Raw genomic sequence first — 20,807 nt, forward strand, 5'->3', positions numbered from 1 at the left:
GTCCCCACTGGGGCACTGCTTAGTGGAGCTGTGAGAAGAGGGCCACTGTTCTCCAGACAGAATGGTAGATCCACTGACACTTGCACCATGTGCCTGGAATAGTTACAGGCATTCAATGCCAGCCTGTGAAACAGCTGCAGAGGCTATATCCTGCTGAGTCACAGAGGCAGAGTTTCCCAAGGACTTTGGAGCCCACCTTTTGCATCAGCATGTCCTCGATGTGACACATGAAGTCAAAGGAGATTATTTTGGAGCTTTCAGATTTAATGATTGCCCTGCTGGATTTCAGACTTGTATAGGGCCTCTAGCCCCTTTGTTTTGAACAATTTCTACCTTTTAGAATGGGAGCATTTACCCAAGGCATGTGCTGCCACCCCCACCATTGTGTCTTGGAGGTAACTAACTCATTTTTTATTTTACAGTCTCCTAGGTGGAAGGGATTTACCATGTCTCAGATGAGACTTTGGACTTGGGCTTTTGAGTTAATGCTAGAATGAGTTAAGACTTTGGGGGATTGTTGTGAAGGCATGATTGGTTTTGGAATGTGAGAAGGACATGAGATTTGGGAGCAGCTGGGGTGGAATGAAATGGTTTGGCTCTGTGTCCCCACCTAAATCTCATTGAATTGTAATTCCCAGTGTTGGGGAAGGGACCTAGTAGAAGGTGATTGGATCATGGGGGTGGATTTTCCCCATGCTGTTCTTGTGATAGTGAGTTCTCACAAGATATGATGGTTTAAAAGTGTGTGGCACTTCCCCACTTGCTCTCTCTCTCTCCTGCCATCATGTGAAGAAGGTACTTGCTTCTCTCCTTTGCCCTTCCATCTTGAATAAAAGTTTCCTGAGGCCTTCCAGCCATGCTTCCTGTATACCCTGCAGAACTATGAGTCAATTAAGCCTCTTTTCTTCATAAATGACCTACTTTCAAGAAGTTCTTTATAACAATGTGAGAATGGACTAATACTCCACCATGAGGAACTAAAATTTGACATACGGTAATAAAATTAAGTAGAATCTATTGAGTACCTAATAAGAGGTAGATGCTTTAAAACATCACCCCCAATACCTTGGAAAATCTGCATTATTCTCTATAACTTACATAAAATAAAATGGTCTTAACAGTACATAACTATGTCCAAGTAGAGATTCAAATGCCAGCTCTATCTGATTCTGAAGTGTATATATTTTGCAATATGCTAGGCATGTTCTAAATATTCCTTAACTCTAAAAGGTACAAAATACAGCAGAATTCATACTTGTTTTGAATTCTTTTTTTTTTTTTTTTTTTTTTTTTTTTTTTAAGACAGAGTCTCACTCTGTCACCAAGGCTGGAGTGCAGTGGTGCGTTCTTGGCTCACTGCAAGCTCTGCCTCCCGGGTTCACGCCATGCTCCTGCCTCAGCCTCCCGAGTAGCTGGGACTACAGGTGCCTACCACCATGCCTGGCTAATTTTTTTGTATTTTTAGTAGAGACGGGGTTTCACCATGTTAGCCAGGATGGTCTCGATCTCCTGACCTCGTGATACGCCTGCCTCAGCCTCCCAAAGTGCTGGGATTACAGGCGTGAGCCACCGTGCCTGGCCTGAATTCTTTAAAGCTACAAACTCCTATGGAGAATCTGATTTGCACTGTGGAAAGTCTGTTAGATAAAATGCATTGATGGTAGTCTCTCTGTATCTATATCTCCTATCTAGAACTGTGTAGTTCCGACCCATTCTAGCTCTGGGCTGACATTACAATTAATTTGGTCAATAGAATGCTACAGAGGTAATGTTGTGCTAGTTTTAAGCCTAGACCTCTAAGTTTTAAGCTGAGACCTTAAGATGGCTCTGTATGCTTCTGCTTGCAATCTTAATTGCTTTCATGATAGAGTTGCTTTTGCTGTGAGAACAAGCTTGACTAACCTGTTGCAGGATGAGAGACCACATGAAGAAGAATAAAAGCATCTCAGCAAACAGTCAGCCAATACTGAGTAGCAGAGATGACTAGCCTACCATTTACAGCTGACCACAGATATGAGGGGTCCCATTGTCAAAACCAGATGAATTGTCCAGCTAAGCCTAGCCAAAAATTACAAACCTGAAAATTATGAGCTAAATAAATACTTCTTTGAAATCACTAAGTTTTGGGGGAGGATAGAAGATAGGAGGATATACTGAAGAGGAAAATACTGAGGACTTAATTTTTCTTCAACTAAAAAATGATAGAAATTATATGGAGAACTACCAACACACTGATCAAGGAAATAAGAGAGGACACAAACAAATGAAAAAACATTTCATGCTCATAGATAGGAAGAATGAATATCATGAAAATGGCCATACTGCCCAAAGTAATTTACAGAATCAATTCTATCCCCATCCAGCTACCATAGACTTTCTTCACAGAATTAGAAACAACTACTTTAAATTTCATATGGAACCAAAAAAGAGCCCGTATAGCCAAGACAATCCTAAGCAAAAAGAAGAAAGCTGGAGGCATCATGCTACCTGATTTCAAACTATACTACAAGGCTACAGTAACCAAAACAGCTTGGTACTGGTACCAAAACAGAGATATGGACCAATGGAACAGAACACAGGCCTCAGAAATAATGCCACATACATACAACCATCTGATCTTTGACAAACCTGACAAAAACAAGCAATAGAGAAAGTATTCTCTATTTAATAAATGGTGTTGGGAAATCTGGCTACCCATATGCAGAAAATTGAAACTGGACCTTTTTTTTTTTACACCTTATACAAAAACTAACTCAAGAAAGTTTAAAGACTTAAATGTAAGACCTAAAGCCATAAAAACCCTGGAAGAAAACCTAGGCAATTCATTCAGGACATATAAGCATGAGCAAAGACTAAAAAACTAAAGAGCTTGTGCACAGCAAAAGAAACTATCATCAGAGTGAACAGGCAACCTACAGAATGGGTGAAAATGTTTGCAATCTATCCATCTGACAAAGGGCTAATATCCAGAATCCACAAGGAACTTAAACAACTCTACAGGAAAAAAAAATCAAAACGTGGGTGAAAGATATCAAAAGACACCTCTCAAAAGAAGACATTTATGCGGCCAACAAACATGAAAAAAAGCTCATCATCACTGGTCATTAGAGAAATGAAAATCAAAACCACAATGAGATACCATCTCATACCAGTTAGAATAGTGATAATTAAAAAGTCAGGAAACTACAGATGCTGGAGAGGATGTGGAGAAATAGTAATGCTTTTATACTGTTGGTGGGAATGTCAATTAGTCCAACTATTGTGGAATACAGTGTGGCAATTCCTCAAGGATCTAGAACCAAAAATACCATTTGATTCAGCAATCTCATTACTTGTTATACACCCAAAGGATTATAAATCATTCTACTATAAAGACACATGCACACATATGTTTATTTTAGCACTATACACAATATCAAATTTGGGTTGTAACCAACCCAAATGCCCATCAGTGATAGACTGGATCAAGAAAATGAGGCACATATACACCATGGAATACTATGAAGCCATAAAAAGCATGAATTCATGTCCTTTGCAGGGACATGGATGGAGCTGGAAACCATAATCCTAAGCAAACTAACACAAGAACAGAAAACCAAACACCACATTTTTCATTTTGAACAGTGAGAACACATGGACACAGGGAGGGGAACATCACACTGGGGCCTGTCATGAGGTGTCGGGCTAGGGGAGGGATAGCATTAGGATAAATATGTAATGTAGATAATGGGTTGATAGGTGCAGCAAACCACCATGGCACGTGTATACCTATGTAACAAACCTGCACGTTCTGCACATGTATCGCAGAACTTAAAGTATAGTGAAAAAAGAAATAATCATAAAGTATGTATCTTTACCAATTTTTTATTTTAAATTTTTGATAATGTATTCTACTTTTTTAATTTATATAAGCTGTATCCAGGGGTATACAAATCTTGAGCCTTTCTCAGTGCTTGTGTGTGTGTGCGTGTGTGTGTGCACATGTCTGCACGTGTGTGTGTTTAGAATGTATAATTTATTTTTAAAACACACTAGTTATTTCTTAATTAAACATAGCCATGGGATAGAGTTAAGAATATAACATAAAATCTTCTCAGTCTTCTGGGGATTTCATAGAATGTAATTTTTATTGCGTTTATTTCCCCAAAGCTATATTTTAAGCAACAGAGCTACACTTGAATATTAAGTATATAAACTTCAAGTAATGGTATTTCTATTAAAAATAGAGTCTAACATGTTTTAATTACCTAGGTCTTCTGGAATCTATGCAAGAATGCAAAAAATATATGTTGCATTGTTTTCTGACTCTTTTACTTCTTCTTTACTTACTGTTATTTTCTTAAACTTGCTGGTTTTTACTTTGGACCTGCTCCATTATTGCAAGCCAAGCTGCTGTTTTCAAAATGTACCAGCAAACAACCCTCAGATGCGATTCAGTCCAGCTGACCTGAGCCTAGCCAGTATTACCTGACTTTTACCTCAGGATTGATGAGCCTGTAATAGTCATTTATTTTAAAAATGTTAATTTAAACCGTTGAGTTTGGAGTTTTTAAAACAGTAGAATCACTAATTTATTAGACTTAACAACAAGAATTGTAGGTAAATATTTCATTACAAACAACTTTCTCCTTCAAAACTGTTTTTCTAGTTTCTACAGTCTCAGTTAATGTGACTATCCTCCACAGAGACTCTCTACTCTGTTGCTTGCCCTCCCATCCTGCAATTATCATACCTACAAATTCTATTTACTCTATATCCAATATATGTACCATACAGTTTTAACTAATGGTATGTTCAGTGCTGCTACATGCCATATTTAATCTTTTGGAAATCTAGTTAGTCAATATTTCTTTTAAAATGTTGGCATCACCTAACTACTGCTCGTAACTGCCAATTCAATCTACTGTCATTCCTACCTATACTGTTGAGCTAATTGAGCAATAGTTTTCCATGCTTCTACAAGTGGCACTCTATATTATATTCATAGCACAGTGGCCAAGAATAGTAACTTTATACTATAAATCAGATTATGTCAGCTTCTCAAAATGCTCCATGGTTTCCCATATTGTGTGCAGCAGACACCAGAGATAGATAACAAGAGATGCATATTCATTACAACAAAAGGAAACGACAGTTTCTATAATTAAATAAGCTAAATCTAAGCTGCATTTATAGCTAGATTCACAGATGTAGACGTCAATAAAGATATAGACATTTTTCTCTGTAATTGGAGACCTTCCTATTTGTATAATGAAATATCAGAGAGATTGGCTCACACAAGTTTGTGGTTGGGATATTAATGGCAAACTCATATACAATTGGGGTGTGTGGGTGTGTGCACATGCACACGTGTGCCTGTGTAGTATATATGTATATATTCACTATACAATTCTCTTTTTACGTGGAAATACTATAAGGAATCAGATCAAAGCAGATTAACAAGATGTTCTGGTTGATAGGAGGGAATGGTATTGGCAAGACAGAAAATCCTCCTTCTCATCACCAAAAGCTTCTGATGTAGAAAACACGTGAAGAAATCTACTAATCTAAAGTGTCATGAGTACACATACTATATAGTGAATATATCCAGTAGGGGATAAAATTATCTACAGAATCTGATGCTCAAAAGAAATATCTCTGAAGTTCATACGGTTCCTAACAGCAGTCTATTACCTCTACAAGGACATTGCAGCTGAGAACAAGTTAGGAATCTTCTAAAGAACTTGCCAAGTTATTTTCAAATTCAAAATTGCTTCACTTATTTAATTAATCTTTATAAACACATTAGATTAAGCTGTGGATGGGGAGAGGAATGACATACAGTAGGATGTATCCATGGCTTTTACCTTAAGTCCCAAGAATGGCCCCTTTTATTAACTTTTTATGATATTAAGGCAATGGAAATATTTTAAAAGCTGCATTTTTAAAATCTCTTCCACACCACTTTCCAGACACAGTCTTTTACTATTAGACAGAAATGGATGCAGTGTAACAAGTGTGGGAACATGCCTGAATTAGCCCTGTGGTGACAGTTCTCTGATCATTTGACAAATCCTGGCCCAGGGAGTTACAATTTAACAAGTAGAGTAGTAAATATAGAAGATTCCCTTGAAAAGTGAAATCCCTGTAGAGCAGCATTTGTAAGAATCTGAAGGAAATTTACATTTCAACACATTGTTCATTTCTACTTCCCACAGAGGACTCTCACAGAACAATTGCGTTTCTTAGAGTTTTTCTTTTTTTGCAGTAGTTTGAGTCAATGGCAAAAGCCCTGCTGCTAAGTCAGATTACCAGAATATTTTGAAAGGACACACACAAACCAAAGCCACTTTGTTAAATAACACTCTTTAAAATTTGGTACAATGAGAAAAAATAAAAACTTCAAGTTTAGTAAATCACGGTTCAACAGCTTCATAAATTTTAATTTTTACTTATGTGCCTTATAGTCATTTGGGAATACTTTTTTTTCTTACTATGAAACACAAATATAAGAGCTTTGTATATGCATGCCAGCAGTTGTGTGCACAAATGCCCTGAGGACTTGCATATATGCAGATATTGTTGGCCTTGTAAAATGTTCTCTTCAAGATTAAATTTTTGGCAATCTCTAACAACTATACAGCATTTTTCACTGATGCTGAGTATCTATTAACATTAAAAAAATTGCATTTCCATATGTAAAAAAAATCTGAATATTGCAAAAATTGTTCTCTGTGCAAAATCTTGTATAAGTTAATTTCAATGTAGCAATCACTATTTTTCCCCAAATGCAATGATGCAAGTATAAATTTTCTCTCAGTATGGTTAACATTCTACTTACATTCTTTAACTATTTTTATGTCTCAATTTACTTTCCATAAAAAACATATGATTTGCATTAAATAAATTACCTGTTCTAAAACATCAAGTAAATGTACTAGATATACTCAATCTACTAAATTTACTAAATACCATAATCATGTCATTTTAGAATGCTGGAGTTGAAAAAGTACAAAGAAGGTAACATCCCTAATTTCCAGAAATGCAAAAAATTCCTCCTAACACTTAAGATATTTTTTAGCTTCTCCTTGAACCTTTTAAATCCTGTAGAAATAGCTGGATCATGGAATATTTTATTACATTTTTGAATAACTGTAGCTATTTCCCAAGATCTTTCTTATATTTAGCTAAAAGCATTAATGTTTTGTACTCATTGCTCCTAGTCTGCAGTGAGAATCATGCAATTGTTCTAAGTGTGATGAAAATCTGTGTCTACAAAAAGAGCTGTAAAAGCAAGTTCACAACAGCTTTATTCATAAGAGATAATCCTGGGAACAAACAAAATGTCCACAAACAATACATAAGCAATTTGTGTAACAGTCATACAATGGAATACTACTAGCAATAGAAATAAATAAACTACTTCTAAATGACACAATATGAATGTATCTCAAAAATATTAATTTGGATATGAGAAACCAGAAATAGAACTGTATGATTCCATTTATATGAAGTATTAGAACTGAGAGCCTACAGTGATAAAAGTAAGAAAATGCTTGGTTCAAAGCCTGGGAAGAAAATGACTGGAAGGTGCAGAGTCAAAAAAATTCCTCTTTTGTGGAAATGTTATTTATCTTCACTATATATCTTTACTTCACTCGGGTTTGGGGTACACGGATATATGCTGCTATCAAAACTTATCAAGTCAAACTCTTCAGATCATTACATTTGGTTACATGTAAATTGTATCTCAATAAAAAATGAAAGTCTTAGAGGCTGTAACAACTCAATTCTACTCATTATTGAAACATTCTTGACATTTAGACCTACTGCCGTAGTATCACCCTATTGAACACGAGTGGTCTCTTATCTGCTTTGTTAATTCAGTAAGACGCTCTTCTCCCTAAAACACAGACACACAAGCATATACATACACTATAGTTTATTGTCACAGGAGCAAAGCTACAATGAGCCAATTAGACCTCAGCCCTGAAAACATGAGGTTAACGCTGAATAAAAAATTCTGCATAATGAACTAATTATATTGTGGAAATATATCCTTTAAGAGTAGCTGTATTTTTTCTTGGAAAGTGGAGAGAAGAGGAAGTTATTTTATAGAAAAAAAATTACAGAGACTAAAGAAACAGCAGTTCAAAAAGATTTATTTTTTTAATCTCAAAAACTCTAATTCTAGTCTCTCTAAACTGATATATTTTACCTGTAAAAATCAATATTAAAATATTAACAAGGCCGGGTGTGGCGGCTCATGCCTGTAATCCCAGCACTTTGGGAGGCCGAGGCAGGCGGATCAACTGAGGTCAGGAGTTCAGACCAGCCTGACCAACCTGGAGAAACCCCATCTATACTAAAAATACAAAATTAGCCAGGCATGGTGGTGCATGCCTGTAATCCCAGCTACTTGGGAGGCTGATGCAGGAGAATCACTTGAACCCAGGAGGTGGAGGTTGCGGTGAGCCAAGATCGCACCATTGCACTCGAGCCTGGGCAACAAGAGCAAAACTCCATCTTAAACAAAAACAAAAACAAAAGAAACTAACAAATAGCAGCTCTATAAGGTTTTCACATAATTAAACAAGGTACTGCATATGCAATGCCTTGAAAATTATTAATGCTCAGTTCAGTATTACTAAGTCACAAATGTATTACTTTCGTATCATTATTTTATATGGCCAGTTGAACACCTTCAATGAATTTTCATTGAAGCTACTATTGTAAAAGATGTGCTGGGTGATAGAGGGAACACATGTGAAGTTTAATAGAAGTTCTGCTTTAAAGACTTTAAAAAGTAGAGCACATTTTTGTTCATATCAATCAGTAAAAAGTGATATTGGCACATTTTGATTGATATCACATATATATCATTGAAATGCTGAATAAAATATTAAAATCAGCAATAATCTTTAATAAAATGTAATGAGAAATAAAAGATTGATAAGTTCTCAAAGGCCATAGGTTCTTGAGGAAATATGCAATTGGAAGCTGCCAGTATCATACTATACTGGAATATGGGTCCAGACTACTTCATTTATTAACATAAATAAATCTATAATATGATATGAGAGATAAGTTTTTTGAGAACAGTGCTTAAAATGATCAAATGTATCATGATGACTGGTTCTCACAGCTATAAGATAAAAAATAGTTTTGCATTACCATTAAAAATTTGTCTAATATAAACTTATACTCCTCCAAAATGAACATATTGATCCTCTCAATGCAGCTATTCATAAAATGTCTTGAATAGGTTAGATTCTAATCAAAATGCAGCATTTTATTTTTGTGAAATGTCTCACTTAAGTACCATGCAAACACAGTGTAATTTGGAATTATTTGTAAATTGCTTTATCCCATCTATTAAGTACAACATTGTACATTTGGAGAGAAAGATTTGGGGGCATAACAGCTTTCTCCAACATAAGTTTCAACAATTGACAAACAAAACTTAATGATTTTTTGAGAAGGAGTAATTTAAAATTTATGAAAACAAACTGAAAGAAATGATAGAGAGCTTGCTGCCCTTCTCACAGCAGTGTTTGCTTTTGGCAAGGCAGCCTTGCAATCAGTACAGCAGGCTTCAAGGTGTTTTCACACAGATTTGTTATGAGGATTCATTTTCTTCCTAGTGATTGTTAATAACATCCACATTGAAAACTATAGGTATGTATGTGTGAACGCACACCCTTTAGTTGTGGTAGGACTAGTAGTTGCTTTAGCGTACAACATTCATTTCTTCTTCAGTGGTGTATCTTACTAAGTGAAGACTTCAACTTTCTTTGAAAGCCTGTGTGTATTAAAGGTTGACTTTAAGCTTTTAATAAAGTGAGTATATAATTTGCAAATTTTTCCCGTTTATATAGGCATGAGGTGCCTTTTCACTCTGTTAATGGTTCCTTTTCAGTGCAGAAGCTTTTTAGTTTGCTGCAATCTCACTTGTTTACTTTTGCTTCTGTCTGTGCTTTTGGGGTCATACCTAATAAATTATTACCCATGGTAATAACAAGAAACTTTTCCCCTGTGTTTTCTTCTAGGAGTTTACAGTTTTAGATCTATGTTTAAGTCTTTAATCTACATTAATTTGATATTTGTGTATGGTGTTAAGGTTCCAATTTTATTTTTTTGCACATGGATATCCAGTTTTTCCACAACAATTTTTCAGAGACTTCCCTTACCTTATTATGTGTTGTTGCCATTCTTGTCAAAGATCAGTTGACTGTGTATGCATAGATTTATTTCTGGTCTCATTATTCTGTTCCATTGGTCTATATAACTGTCATTACACCAATACTATAATTTTCTATTACTCTTCAAATTATATAAGAACTTTTACAATTAAATAGCAAAAAAAAAAAAAAAAAAAAAAAAAAACAGAAAACCTAGTTACTCCAATTTTTAAAGAGGAACTAATAACTTGAATAGATATTTCTCAAAAGAAATACAAATGATGAACCAGTTTATATGAAAAATGTTCAATGCCATTAATCCTGAAGGAAATGTAAATGAAAACCACAATGAGATATCACCTCATGCCTATCAGAATGGTTATTATTCTGAAACACACACACACACACACAAAAGACTACAAATATTCAGAAGGATGTGGAGAAATGAAAACCCTTCCACACTATTGGGAATGCAAAATGTTCCAGCCACTGTAGAAAACAATATGGAAATTTCTCAAAAAATTAAAAATAGGATTTCCATATGACTGAACAATCCCACTCTTGAGTATTTAACCAAAATAATTAAAAATAGAGTATTGAAAATATAGCACTACCATGTTCATTGCAGCACTATTCACAACAGTCAAGATACGAAAACAACATAAATGTCCATCAACAGATGAGTGGATGAAGAAAATGTAGTATGTACACACAAATACTATTTAGCCTAAAAATAGAAATTCTGAAACATGCAGTAACATGAATGAAACTTGAGGACATTATGCTCAGTGAAATAACACAGTCACATTAGTACAAATACTGTGTGATTCCACTGAGATGAGATATCTAAAATAGTCAAATTCATTTCATCAAACGGTTAAATGGTTGTTGCCAGTGGCAGTAAGGAGTGGGAAATGGGAGGGTTATTATTCAATAAATTAAAGTTTCAGTCAAGTAAGGTGAATAAATTCTAGAGAACTGTTGTGCAATATTGTAACTATTGTTCATAATGTACTGTACACTTAAATTTTGTTAAGAGGGTGGATCTCATGTTAAGTGTTATTACCAAATAAGATATTATGTACATTTTTAAAATGTGGTATTTTTTATTAGTTCAAGAGGCACAGTTAAAATTGGGAAAACTGATCATTCCGTTGTAAATTGAAAATATTTATAAGGAATTTTACTCTGTGACTGCAGGTATAGTTAAGAACTTAGGCAAATTTTATTATTTTTTCCTTAAAAAAGTCATTAAGAAAAATAATAACTTACAGGAAACTAATCTATTGATAGTCTCTATATATAATTAATTAATTATTATATATATTAATATATATATTATTATATATTATATATTATATAATAATATATAATTAATAATTATATAATTATATATTATATAATATATATTATATAATAATTATATAATATATAATTAATAATTATATATATTAATTATATATTAATTAATATATAATTAATATAATTAATAACTCATCTCATATAATAAACAAAGGAATAAGTAATATGAGAGCAAATAGCAGTCCCATTAGCATTGGGTGTTAATTATGTTTGTAACATTTTATTTTTGCTTACCCTTTCAAAAAACTCATTTGGGTACCATATTACAAGCCTGGAATTTCTATGCTAATTGAAATCTTACAGAGGTTACAAGAACTTCCTGGTGTAGCTGGGAAGGGAAAACGCTAAATTCATGAATCCTGGCTCAAGTCAATTTTTTTTCTGAATGCAAAGGTGGATCTGATGCATTGTCTTGCATTATTTATTTCCCTTAGATACCAATCTGCTATACAGAATCACCTATATATCATGCAATTTTTCATAATCTAAGACATAACTTTTAAGGAGGAAATTGAGGAGCAGTAATAGAAAGGCAGAGACAACAAAGTATTCTCTGAACAGCTTGCGAATTGAATTTAGGTGATGGTAATTGCTAATAGAAAAAATGGCATAAACATGCTTACTATTTAAGAGTGCATAAATGAATTGTTTAGAAAACACATAACATAATAGACTAACTACGATCACAACAGGATAAATTCTTAAAACATGATTTTTTAATGTCAATAAGAAATAAAAATTACTTTCAAAATTTTCAGAGAGAGAAATTGATATAAAGTTATGTATGTAAGTTGAACATATAATGTGTTTTCAAAGGCTGCAGCACTTTTAAAAAAATAGAAAGTCTTTCCTCCTACATATTCTGCACCTTCTATTAAACCTGTTTATAATTCTTCTGTCTGCTCACACTTCATTTAGCACATTGAGTTATCCTCTACCTTGGTTTGCCACTTCACTTACATTTCAGGGTGTGAGGTCATTTATGAAATAGTAGCTGAATATTAACTGTTATTTGAGAAAACATGAAGAAGGATAAAATTTCCATAAAGGCACTCATGCGTATTAACAATCCAATGCAACATATGTTAAGCATATGCATACTTGCTATTAAGATATAATTGATGTACAAAGAAATGCACATACTTAATGCATTTATGCTAAAGATGAGTTTGGACATATGCAAGCACCTGTGATACTATCACCACAATCAAGGCATTAGACATATCCAACACCTTCCATATTTTCTTCGTGTTCCTTTTTCTTTTCTCTTTTTCTGTGTGTGTCTATATGTGGCAAGAATATTTAACATGATATTTATTCTCCTTACAATTTCGAAGTACACAATACTATATTTTTAACTATAGGTGCTAGGTTGTACAACAGATCTCTAGAACTTATTTATCTAGAGTAACTAAAATTTTATATTTATTGAACCACAACTGGCCATTTCTCTCACCGCCCAGTCCCTGGAAGTCATATTTTCTGCTTCTGTGAGTTTGACTATTACAGATGCCCTATATAAAATGGAATCATACGCTATTTATACTTCTGTGACTGGCTTATTTCACTTAGCATAATGCCTTTCAAGTTAACCTTTGTTGCTACAAATGGCTAATTTTCTTCCCTTTTGAGGCTTAATGATATTCTGTTATACATTCTCATTGACTGCATGCTTCACATTTTTTTTATCCATTCATCTGTTGATGGACACTTCTTTGTTTCCCATATCTTGGCTATTGTGAACAATGTGGCAATAAATACGGGAGTGCAGATATCACTTCTAGAATCTGACTTGAATTATTTTGGGTATATACTCAAAAGAGAAATTGCTGGATCATATGGTAATTCATTTAAAATGTTTTGAGGAACCTTAACAATGGTTGCATTATTAAACTTTATCACTAATGGTATATGAGTTCTCTTTCTCCCACATTCTCAGCTTATCATTTGCTTTTTTGATAATAGCCATCCAAACAGGAGTATGGTGGTATCTCATTGCAGTTTTGATTTGAATCTTCCTGATAATTAATAATTTGGAGCTTTTTCTAAATTTACTTATTTATTTTTTGTTTGTTTGTTTGTTTGCTTTGAGATGGGGTCTCACTCTGTCGCCCAGGCTGGAGTGCAGTGGCGCGATCTCGGCTCACTGCAACCTCTGCCTCCCGGGTTCAAGCAATTCTCTGCCTCAGCCTCCTGAGTAGCTGGGACTGCAGGTGCCCTCCACGACACCCAGCTAATTTTTGTAGTTTTAGTAGAGATGGGGTTTCACCATCTTGGCCAGGCTGGTCTTGAACTCCTGACATTGTGATCCACCTGCCTTGTACTCCCAAAGTGCTGGGATTATAGGCGTGAGCCACTGTGCCCAGCCGGATTATTTATTTATTTATTTATTTATTTATTTATTTATTTATTTATTTATTTTTGACAGGAGTTTCACTCTTGTTGCCCAGGCTGGAGTGCAATGGCATGATCTCCGCTCACTGCAACCTCCTCCTCCCAGTTTCAAGCGATTCTCCTACCTCAGCCTCTGGAATAGCTAGGATTACAGGCATGTGCCATCATGTCTAGCTAATTTTGTATTTTTAGTTGAGATGGGGTTTCTCCCTGTTGGCCAGGCTGGTCTTGAACTCCCAATCTCAGGTGATCCGCCTGCTTCAGCCTCCCAAAGTGCTGGGATTACAAGTATGAGCCACCGCGCCTGGCCTGGAGCATGTTTTTATGTACCTTTTGGCCATTTGTATGTGGAAGTTTCTGTTCAAACCTTTTGGCCATTTTTTAATTAGGTTATTAGATTTGTTGTTGCCTTTTATTGTTTTTGCTCTTCAGCATAGGAGTTTTTATATAGCTATTTGTTGTTTTTGCTATTCTAGGCTTTTTAAATGTATTTTGCAAATTAACAACTTAACAACATATAATTTCCAAATATGTTTTTCTACTTTATAGGTTACTTTTCCATTTTGTTGATTAATTTCTTCAGGATGATTTTTCTCTTTCTTTTTAGTTAGTTGTAGTACCACTTGACTGTTTCTGCTTTTGTTGCCTTTGCTTCTGGTGACACATTCAAAATATCATTGCCAAGGCCAAGAAACTTTTCCTCTAGAAGTGGTACAGTTTCAGGTTTTATATTTAAGAAGTAAGTCTTCAATTAATTTTGATTCAATTATGTGTGTGGTATAGAGGTCCCTTTTTGTTTATTTTTGCATGTAGATGTCCAGTTTTTTCAATATCATTTCTTAAAGAAATCACCTTCTCCCGATAGTGTATTTTTGGCAACCTTATCAAAGATCAATTCATCATATATTCATGGTTTATTCTGGGGCTCTCTGTTCTGTTTCATTGTAAATGAGTTACCAGTATTTACTTGTTTGTCTGTTTATTAGTATTTTGTTTGTTTTTGAAATAGGGTCTTGCTCTGTCATCCAGTTTGGAGTGTAGTCACTCAATCATGGCTCACAGCATCCCTGACCTCCTGGACTCAAGTGATCCTCAGCCTCCCAAGTACCTGGAACTATGGGCATCCACCACCATGCCTGGCTAATATTTTTATTTTTTGTAGAGATGGGGTCTCGCCTGTTGCCTAGACTGGTCTCGAACTTCTGGGCTCAAGTGATTGACTCCACCTTGCCCTCCCAAAGTGCTGGGATTACAGGGGTGAGCCACTGTGCCTGACCCTACCTGTATTTATATAGAAGAAAAAATATTGGAGACACTTTGATATTTTAAATATGTGCATTTAACATATCTATATACATTATTGGCTACTTTTATTGCTTTATGTTAATTGTTAAAAAATTCGTTTTGCTTTAAGAAATTAAAAATGATGTTTGACAGCAGGCAAGACACAGAACCAAGGCAGATTTTGAACTTCCAGGCTTGTTTATACCTTGAGAGATAAAGTGGAGCATATTGTATCAATGTTAGCAATCTTCTCAGATGGGTTATACTTAATTAAAATCTGATTAATTTTCATTAACTAAAGAAAGATGAGACAATCAGAAGAAAATTTGGTGAGACACAAATACTTATAGAACAAATATACATATTGATCATCCAAGCACATGTGAGGTCAGAAGGAGTTTCAGCCAATGGTTGGGTATTATAGTGCCATTGACATTCATAGCTGTATTATGGCGACGAGCATAGCGTGGATTAGCCTCATGCAATTCAACATTCAAACATTATACTGATTCCACACTCGTCAAGTCACCTTTTGCTTATTATTTGACTTCCTGCTGTTTCTGACTTTAAAAAAATATGCTAATCATACTGCTTAGTTTTCTGGTCTGTTGAAATAATTATATTTCCCAAGACAAAGAAAAAAATGATATGATAATTTTATACGTTACTATTCTGAGCTTGCATAAAATGAGAACCCTTGTGAAAATCAGGTCCTCTCTTGTGCTGAATCACATTGAGCATTAGGAATGGTATAATGATAGGATCACTATGAAAATGCCCCTGCATAAACTTTTTAGAATAGACCAGTTTAACTTTACAAAGCATCAGCTCTCTGGATTACTAAACGTGCCCTCTGCTATGCGTCATACTTCAGTATCTTACTGAAATGTAGAAAAATCTGTAAGTTCCTCTCTCAATTGACATTTTACTGGCAAAAATGGTCTGTAGAATGATATATTCAATACTAATATTTATTAAATATGTACTATGCATGAAATGTGTGGTAAATAGAAGAGCAGTGAACAAATTAGACGTGGTCTTTGCCAGCAAGAAACATCCAGTCTATTGACTAGAGGTGCAAATTACACTGTAATGTTATAATGTAGGGTATAGATAAGAGAGGCAGAAAACCCACAAAGGAGTCTCTAGATTTGCCTGAGGAAGTCAGGGAACTGTCTCCTTACAAAGAGATTAGTATACAAGGACAAGTAAGAAAGATATATGAATGGGTATTTCAAGTCAAGGACACTTTCAAAGCCATAATACTTTGCAGGAATAAAAAGTGCTTTAGTTTGTCTCCTTCAAAGTGAAAATAGGAATTAAAAATATGCTCAAGGTATAATTAAGGAAACTCAAGTGTGTGAAAGGTTTTATGTACCATGCTAAATGGTAGTTATTATCTTAGACAATGGGCAGTTTTGTCTATAGTAATAACAAAATATTTGGGCAAAATCATGGAGAAAGAATTAAAGTCTAGATGATTATTAAAAGGGTGTGAATTTTAAAATTTGTTTGAATTCATACTCATATTTGTATATTTGTTTTTCTCTTCATAGCTACATTATAAATGTGAGGACAGTACCCACATATTATTCTTTTATTATTGTTTATCTCAAGTGTGCAATATAATTTTTAGTAGCAGAAACTCAATCTACACTTTGTATTTTGTTACTAATTAAATAACCCACCGTATTAAAAATGAAGATTTAAATATTCCAAATTATGGAAGCATGGGTTGATCAGAAATATTAAGCCCCCCTTTTTTTTTCTTACTAAAAAATTCCATTGCGAGCAAGTTAGTCGGCTTGGGCTGCTGTAACTAACATAAACTCTATGGTTCATAAACAGTGACCATTTATTTCTCACAGTTCTAGAGGCTGGGAAGTCCAAGATTAAGGTGTCAGCAGATTCAGTGTTTGGCAAGTGCCTACTTTCTTATAGATGATACTGACTCCATCCTCACATGGTAGGGCAGGGGAGCTCTCCTAAGCTTCCTTTATAATGGAACTTTATAACGACTCCCATGCATAAGGACTCCTTCTTCATAACCTAATCACCTCCCAAAGCCCTCACCTCCTAATATTATCATGTGGACAGATGAGGATTTTAACATATCAATTTTGGGGAACACAAATGTTCAGACCATAGCAAAGATTTTTTTCAAGAACTGACTTATTGTACTCAGTATATGATTTAATTAATAAAAACAATGTTTACATACAAATTAAATAATACAATTCTATATACATTAAAATATGTCCCTTTCATTGTTGACTGTTTATTGTCATTAGGAAATAAGCTTTAGGGGGACAATAAGCATAAACCAAAAGAGTGCTGTAGATACTTTTAATTGAACAATTGGTTGGTAAAGTCATCTACAACTTAAACACAGAAGAAAGGAAACACATGGTTTTAAGCAGAAAGATGACAAGAAGGTAGACAGAAGGATGGATTATGTGATAGGTAGATGAATCAAAGGATGGATGGACACATACATATATTAAAACATTATAATTCTGGTAGGAAGTGTGTGTTGATTACATCATTGTCTACAAAATCCTGTCTTCTCTTTCAATGTCTTTGGAGCGAGGGAGAGAGAAAGAATGTTATCCAAATATCAAGTGATCTAAACATGTCCCTTATGCTAAGCTTATGCTTATTAGTCAGAATCAAATTTGCTCCTTAAAATCTCACAAAACAACATTTAAGAATACTGTCAGATTTTATTGTATCAATTGATGGAGCATCTAGTTACTGAGCATCTTAGGTCATTATTATTGTTTAATTAACTGATGTAATAGGGCTGGTAATGTATCATTTTTAAAAGGTTGGCGGATGCCTTGATTATAACATATACAATCATGCACCACAAAACATTTCAGTCAACAACAAACTGCATATACAAGAGTGATCCCATTAAATTATAATACAGCTGAACATTTTCTATTTTAAAATAGAAATTTAAACAATTTTAAACATAGGAGTTTAAAAAATTTAAAAATACAGCTGAAAAATTTATATTTTAAAAATTCCTAGTGAGATCATAAATGCTATAATGTTGTAGTGCAATGCATTATTCATGTGTTTGTGGTGACACTGTATAAACAAACCTACTAGGTGTCAGTCATATAAAAGCATAGCACGTGTAATTGTGAACAATAGCTAATACTTGGTAATGATAATAAATGGCTGTTACTGGTTTATGTATTTACTTTACTACACTTTTTATGGTTAGAGTGTACTTCTATTTATATAAGAAATGAACTCTATACCAGCCTCAAGTAGGTCCTTCATGAGGTATTCAGAAGAAGGTATCCTTATGATAGAAGATGATGGTTCCATGTGTATTATTACTCCTGAAGACCTTTCAGTGGGACAAGATATGGAGGTAGAAGACAGTGATATTGATGATTCTTACTGCTTGTGTAAGCCTAGCTTTGTTTTTTTGTGTAAGCCTAGTGTGTGCTTGTGTCTTAGTTTTTAGCAGAAAAGTTTACAAAGTAAAAAAGTAAAATAAAAGAAAAATCTAAAAGTAGAAAATAGCATATAGAATAAAGATATATGAAAAAATGCTTTCGTATGGCTGAACAATATGTTTGTGTTTTAACCTAAGTGTTATTATAAAACAACCAAAAAGTCAAAATTATTAAGTAGTTTATAAAGTAAAAAAGTTACAGTAAACTAAGGTTAATTTATTATGAAAGGAAAAATATTTTTAAGAAATAAATTTAGGGTAGTCTAAGTGTACAATGTTCATATAAAGTCTACAATAATGTATAGCAATGTTTTAGGCCTTCACATTCCCTCACTGACTCACCCAGAGCATCTGACAGCCCTTCAAGTTCTATTCCTGTTAAATAGCCTGTATAAGTGTACCATTTTGAAATCATTTATACCATATTCTTACTGTTCCTTTTCTATGTTTAGATAATGTTTATATATACAAATACTTACCATTGTGTTACAATGGTCTACAGAATTTATTACAGTAACATGCTGGACAGGCTAGTAGCCTAGGAGCAATAGGGTATCCTATATAGCCCACTTATATACTAGGCTATATCATCCAGATTTGTGTAAGTAAACACTATGTTATTTGCAGAACAATGAAATGGAAATTGCCTAATGATGCATTTCTCAGAGCATATCCCCATTGTTAAATACACATCACTGTTGTTTCCTTTGGAGATTTTTAGCATCCTTGCATAGTATCTTCCTAACAGATAAATATATTTCGATGCAATAGTCAATGCCACAGTTTTATTTTTCCTTTAGAAATAAAAATGTTTCTGAAATATTTGCAATTTTCAAAACTATAAAGTACACCAAAGAGCTCAAGATATCATCTACTCATTCAAGAAAGTCTCTTTGAAGAAGTTTTGAAGTGCCCCACTACGAGTTGTACCATAGAAGATGCTCTACTTCTAAAATTGGTAACAAAATCAAATAGTCATTTCTCAAGACACATATAGGCAGCAAAATATATTTTAATGTAAACCTCTCCCTAGAAACACATTGCTGGCATGACACAGTTTAAACTCAATACTAATTTCAAACTCCATCTGATTTTTAATAGCTTAGTTTTATGTTTAAAGTATGGATTCAATTCTGACCCTCTTAAAACAATGCAGGGTACCCCTAATAAGTATTCTGTGTGAATAAATAAGCTACTAGGGAAACTATTTCAATCAGGTCGACTTTTTGTTGAAGTAACATTTTCCATTCTGCTAAAGTTCAACTGATGTTGACTTCACTGAATGGCTGTTGGGAAATTGCCCTCGGAGCTTTATCTGGAACTGCTACCGTCTTAGTAATGAAATGTTGTATTGTGAAAGTCACACTCACAGTGTTGATTCTGTTCCTAAGTGACATTGTTGGAGCATAACATCCCTTTAGTTACCTACCTGACAAGTTGTCTATTTAACGGAGAAAAAAATGATCTGACTATGATTGATGGTACAGCTGCCCCTTCTCAGTGATGGGGAAAATAAGCTGAGTCAAAACAGATCTAGCTACACCCGGGCCTGTGTGCAGTGCTGTTTCCTCATTTCTCTTCATTTGGATACGAAGGCTTTCCTTTGAGGGTATATTCCCACAGTCTCCAATCTACCAACCACTGTGCTTATTGCTTTCTTCTTTTCACTTTGAAACTGTTTTAGAGGCATTATTCTGCTCTGGTCAGCATTGGAGCAAAGCTTTTCATACATTTTTAGATACGTGCTCTCTAGGTCAAGGACAACAATGTTGAAAATTAGAGTCCTTGGTAAGGAGTACTTAGTGAACTATTTACATTTTGGCTACAAGTTTCTTCTGATCTCTGAAGCTGACTTGGTTTCTTTCTTTTCTTTTTTTCAAGTTACTGAAGTAAATGTTCCTTTGGATACTGGCTTTATAATTATCGTGACATATGATAAAATTGGAATCTCTAAGGATATAAAAACTTGTCCTGAAGCCAGGGTTCAAGCTCCCAAAACTAAAATGTTTGACCATGTAGTCCCCTTTGCCTCAGGATCTTTTTTTTTTCTCATCTTTCTTTCTTTTGATTTTTTTTTTTTTCTGTTTGAGTAGATAGGTCAGCATGTCCTTTAGCAACAAAGGCTAAAAGGA

The 20,807-nt window shown here is 34.3% G+C and overlaps 2 annotated features.

Annotated features, from left to right (window-relative positions):
* Positions 16,231–16,431: a silencer, noted in NCBI's record as "peak586 fragment used in MPRA reporter construct". NCBI's record gives its function as "represses an SCP1 promoter by STARR-seq MPRAs in K562 erythroleukemia cells {active_cell/tissue: K562}" and the evidence as "EXISTENCE:reporter gene assay evidence [ECO:0000049][PMID:32103011]".
* Positions 20,121–20,321: a silencer, noted in NCBI's record as "peak587 fragment used in MPRA reporter construct". NCBI's record gives its function as "represses an SCP1 promoter by STARR-seq MPRAs in K562 erythroleukemia cells {active_cell/tissue: K562}" and the evidence as "EXISTENCE:reporter gene assay evidence [ECO:0000049][PMID:32103011]".

This window comes from Homo sapiens, chromosome 1, assembly GCF_000001405.40.
Source record: "Homo sapiens chromosome 1, GRCh38.p14 Primary Assembly".
NCBI classification, from domain to species: Eukaryota; Metazoa; Chordata; class Mammalia; order Primates; family Hominidae; genus Homo; species Homo sapiens.